Consider the following 5,657-nt stretch of genomic DNA (forward strand, 5'->3'; position numbering starts at 1 on the left):
CATTTGATGCCAACAGTAGAAAGGGAAATATCTTCAAATAAAAACCAGACAGAATCATTCTCAGAAAATTCTTTGTAATGTGTGCGTTCAACTCACATAGTTTAACCTTTCTTTTCATAGAGCAGTTTTGAAACACTCTGTTTGTAAAGTCTGAAAGTGGATATATGGACCGCATTGAGGCCTTCGTTGGAAACGGGATTTCTTCATTTCATGCTAGACAGAAGAATTCTCAGTAACTTCTTTGTGCTGTGTGTATTCAACTCACAGAGTGGAACGTCCCTTTACACAGAGCAGATTTGAAACACTCTTTTTGTGGAGTTTGCAAGTGGAGATTTCAAGCGATTTGATGCCAACAGTAGAAAAGGAAATATCTTCAAATAAAAACTAGACAGAATCATTCTCAGAAACTACTTTGTGATGTGTGCCTTCAACTCACAGAGTTTAACCTTTCTTTTCTTAGAGCAGTTTAGAAACACTCTGCTTGTTATGTCTGCAAGTGGATATTTGGACCTCTTTGAGGCCTTCGTTGCAAACGGGGTTTCTTCCTTTCATGCTAGACTAAGAAGAGTTCTCAGTAACTTTTTTGTGTTGTGTGTATTCAACTCACAGAGTTGAACCTTGCTTTAGAGAGAGCAGATTTGAAACACTCTTGCTGTGGCATTTTCAGGTGGAGATTTCAAGCGATTTGAGGACAATTGCAGAAAAGGAAATATCTTCGTATAATAACCAGACAGAATCATTCTCAGAAAGTGCTTTGTGATGTGTGCGTTCAACTCACAGAGTTTAACCTTTCTTTCCATAGAGGAGTTTGGAAACACACTGTTTGTAAAGTCTGCAATTGGATATATGGACCTGTTTGAGGCCTTCGTTGGAAACGGGATTTCTTCATTGAATGCTAGACGGAAGAATTCTCAGTAAATTCTTTGTGTTGTGTGCATTCAACTGACAGAGTGGAACGTCCCTTTAGACAGAGCAGATTTGAAACACTCCTTTTGCGGAATTTGCAAGTGGAGATTTCTAGCCATTTGATGCCAACAGTAGAAAGGGAAACATCTTCAAATAAAAACCAGACAGAATCATTCTCAGAAAATTCTTTGTGATGTGTGCGTTCAACTCACATAGTTTAACCTTTCTTTTCATAGAGCAGTTTGGAAACACTCTGTTTGTAAAGTCTGCAAGTGGATATATGGACCGCATTGAGGCCTTCGTTGGAAACGGGATTTCTTCATTTCATGCTAGACAGAAGAATTCTCAGCAACTTCTTTGTGCTGTGTGTATTCAACTCACAGAGTGGAACGTCCCTTTACACAGAGCAGATTTGAAACACTCTTTTTGTGGAGTTTGCAAGTGAAGATTTCAAGCGATTTGATGCCAACAGTAGAAAAGGAAATATCTTCAAATAAAAACTAGACAGAATCATTCTCAGAAACTACTTTGTGATGTGTGCCTTCAACTCACAGAGTTTAACCTTTCTTTTCTTAGAGCAGTTTAGAAACACTCTGCTTGTTATGTCTGCAAGTGGATATTTGGACCTCTTTGAGGCCTTCGTTGCAAACGGGGTTTCTTCCTTTCATGCTAGACTAAGAAGAGTTCTCAGTAACTTTTTTGTGTTGTGTGTATTCAACTCACAGAGTTGAACCTTGCTTTAGAGAGAGCAGATTTGAAACACTCTTGCTGTGGCATTTTCAGGTGGAGATTTCAAGCGATTTGAGGACAATTGCAGAAAAGGAAATATCTTCGTATAATAACCAGACAGAAATCATTCTCAGAAAGTGCTTTGTGATGTGTGCGTTCAACTCACAGAGTTTAACCTTTCTTTTCATAGAGGAGTTTGGAAACACACTGTTTGTAAAGTCTGCAATTGGATATATGGACCTGTTTGAGACCTTCGTTGGAAACGGGATTTCTTCATTGAATGCTAGGCGGAAGAATTCTCAGTAAATTCTTTGTGTTGTGTGCATTCAACTGACAGAGTGGAACGTCCCTTTAGACAGAGCAGATTTGAAACACTCTTTTTGCGGAATTTGCAAGTGGAGATTTCTAGCCATTTCATGCCAACAGTAGAAAGGGAAATATCTTCAAATAAAAACCAGACAGAATCATTCTCAGAAAATTCTTTGTGATGTGTGCGTTCAACTCACATAGTTTAACCTTTCTTTTCATAGAGCAGTTTGGAAACACTCTGTTTGTAAAGTCTGCAAGTGGATATATGGACCGCATTGAGGCCTTCGTTGGAAACGGGATTTCTTCATTTCATGCTAGACAGAAGCATTCTCAGTAACTTCTTTGTGCTGTGTGTATTCAACTCACAGAGTGGAACGTCCCTTTGCACAGAGCGGATTTGAAACACTCTTTTTGTGGAGTTTGCAAGTGGAGATTTCAAGCGATTTGATGCCAACAGTAGAAAAGGAAATATCTTCAAATAAAAACTAGACAGAAGCATTCTCAAAAACTACTTTGTGATGTGTGCCTTCAACTCACAGAGTTTAACCTTTCTTTTCTTAGAGCAGTTTAGAAACACTCTGCTTGTTATGTCTGCAAGTGGATATTTGGACCTCTTTGAGGCCTTCGTTGCAAACGGGGTTTCTTCCTTTCATGCTAGACTAAGAAGAGTTCTCAGTAACTTTTTTGTGTTGTGTGTATTCAACTCACAGAGTTGAACCTTGCTTTAGAGAGAGCAGATTTGAAACACTCTTGATGTGGCATTTTCAGGTGGAGATTTCAAGCGATTTGAGGACAATTGCAGAAAAGGAAATATCTTCGTATAATAACCAGACAGAATCATTCTCAGAAAGTGCTTTGTGATGTGTGCGTTCAACTCACAGAGTTTAACCTTTCTTTTCATAGAGGAGTTTGGAAACACACTGTTTGTAAAGTCTGCAATTGGATATATGGACCTGTTTGAGGCCTTCTTTGGAAACGGGATTTCTTCATTGAATGCTAGACGGAAGAATTCTCAGTAAATTCTTTGTGTTGTGTGCATTCAACTCACAGAGTGGAACGTCCCTTTAGACAGAGCAGATTTGAAACACTCTTTTTGCGGAATTTGCAAGTGGAGATTTCTAGCCATTTGATGCCAACAGTAGAAAGGGAAATATCTTCAAATAAAAACCAGACAGAATCATTCTCAGAAAATTCTTTGTGATGTGTGCGTTCAACTCACATAGTTTAACCTTTCTTTTCATAGAGCAGTTTGGAAACACTCTGTTTGTAAAGTCTGCAAGTGGATATATGGACCGCATTGAGGCCTTCGTTGGAAACGGGATTTCCTTCATTTCATGCTAGACAGAAGAATTCTCAATAACTTCTTTGTGCTGTGTGTATTCAACTCACAGAGTGGAACGTCCCTTTACACAGAGCAGATTTGAAACACTCTTTTTGTGGAGTTTGCAAGTGTAGATTTCAAGCGATTTGATGCCAACAGTAGAAAAGGAAATATCTTCAAATAAAAACTAGACAGAATCATTCTCAGAAACTACTTTGTGATGTGTGCCTTCAACTCACAGAGTTTAACCTTTCTTTTCTTAGAGCAGTTTAGAAACACTCTGCTTGTTATGTCTGCAAGTGGATATTTGGACCTCTTTGAGGCCTTCGTTGCAAACGGGGTTTCTTCCTTTCATGCTAGACTAAGAAGAGTTCTCAGTAACTTTTTTGTGTTGTGTGTATTCAACTCACAGAGTTGAACCTTGCTTTAGAGAGAGCAGATTTGAAACACTCTTGCTGTGGCATTTTCAGGTGGAGATTTCAAGCGTTTTGAGGACAATTGCAGAAAAGGAAATATCTTCGTATAATAACCAGACAGAATCATTCTCAGAAAGTGCTTTGTGATGTGTGCGTTCAACTCACAGAGTTTAACCTTTCTTTTCATAGAGGAGTTTGGAAACACACTGTTTGTAATGTCTGCAATTGGATATATGGACCTGTTTGAGGCCTTCGTTGGAAACGGGATTTCTTCATTGAATGCTAGACGGAAGAATTCTCAGTAAATTCTTTGTGTTGTGTGCATTCAACTCACAGAGTGGAACGTCCCTTTAGACAGAGCAGATTTGAAACACTTTTTGGCGGAATTTGCAAGTGGAGATTTCTAGCCATTTGATGCCAACAGTAGAAAGGGAAATATCTTCAAATAAAAACCAGACAGAATCATTCTCAGAAAATTCTTTGTGATGTGTTCGTTCAACTCACATAGTTTAACCTTTCTTTTCATAGAGCAGTTTGGAAACACTCTGTTTGTAAAGTCTGCAAGTGGATATATGGACCGCATTGAGGCCTTCGTTGGAAACGGGATTTCTTCATTTCATGCTAGACAGAAGAATTCTCAGTAACTTCTTTGTGCTGTGTGTATTCAACTCACAGAGTGGAACGTCCCTTTACACAGAGCAGATTTGAAACACTCTTTTTGTGGAGTTTGCAAGTGGAGATTTCAAGCGATTTGATGCCAGCAGTAGAAAAGGAAATATCTTCAAATAAAAACTAGACAGAATCATTCTCAGAAACTACTTTGTGATGTGTGCCTTCAACTCACAGAGTTTAACCTTTCTTTTCTTAGAGCAGTTTAGAAACACTCTGCTTGTTATGTCTGCAAGTGGATATTTGGACCTCTTTGAGGCCTTCGTTGCAAACGGGGTTTCTTCCTTTCATGCTAGACTAAGAAGAGTTCTCAGTAACTTTTTTGTGTTGTGTGTATTCAACTCACAGAGTTGAACCTTGCTTTAGAGAGAGCAGATTTGAAACACTCTTGCTGTGGCATTTTCAGGTGGAGATTTCAAGCGATTTGAGGACAATTGCAGAAAAGGAAATATCTTCGTATAATAACCAGACAGAATCATTCTCAGAAAGTGCTTTGTGATGTGTGCGTTCCACTCACAGAGTTTAACCTTTCTTTTCATAGAGGAGTTTGGAAACACACTGTTTGTAAACTCTGCAAGTGGATATATGGACCTGTTTGAGGCCTTCGTTGGAAACGGGATTTCTTCATTGAATGCTAGACGGAAGAATTCTCAGTAAATTCTTTGTGTTGTGTGCATTCAACTCACAGAGTGGAACGTCCCTTTAGACAGAGCAGATTTGAAACACTCTTTTTGCGGAATTTGCAAGTGGAGATTTCTAGCCATTTGATGCCAACAGTAGAAAGGGAAATATCTTCAAATAAAAACCAGACAGAATCATTCTCAGAAAATTCTTTGTGATGTGTGCGTTCAACTCACATAGTTTAACCTTTCTTTTCATAGAGCAGTTTGGAAACACTCTGTTTGTAAAGTCTGCAAGTGGATATATGGACCGCATTGAGGCCTTCGTTGGAAACGGGATTTCTTCATTTCATGCTAGACAGAAGAATTCTCAGTAACTTCTTTGTGCTGTGTGTATTCAACTCACAGAGTGGAACGTCCCTTTACACAGAGCAGATTTGAAACACTCTTTTTGTGGAGTTTGCAAGTGGAGATTTCAAGCGATTTGATGCCAACAGTAGAAAAGGAAATATCTTCAAATAAAAACTAGACAGAATCATTCTCAGAAACTACTTTGTGATGTGTGCCTTCAACTCACAGAGTTTAACCTTTCTTTTCTTAGAGCAGTTTAGAAACACTCTGCTTGTTATGTCTGCAAGTGGATATTTGGACCTCTTTGAGGCCTTCGTTGCAAACGGGGTTTCTTCC

General features: G+C 38.9%; 1 annotated feature.

Annotated features, from left to right (window-relative positions):
• Nucleotides 1–5,657: part of a centromere (Linear centromere model derived predominantly from reads generated in PMID: 17803354. This region does not represent an actual centromere sequence, as long-range ordering of repeats and unmapped WGS contigs is not provided by the model. For details of model production, see http://arxiv.org/abs/1307.0035.) that runs on past both edges of the window.

The sequence above is a fragment of the Homo sapiens genome, chromosome 7 (assembly GCF_000001405.40).
Source record: "Homo sapiens chromosome 7, GRCh38.p14 Primary Assembly".
In the NCBI taxonomy this organism is placed as follows: domain Eukaryota; kingdom Metazoa; phylum Chordata; class Mammalia; order Primates; family Hominidae; genus Homo; species Homo sapiens.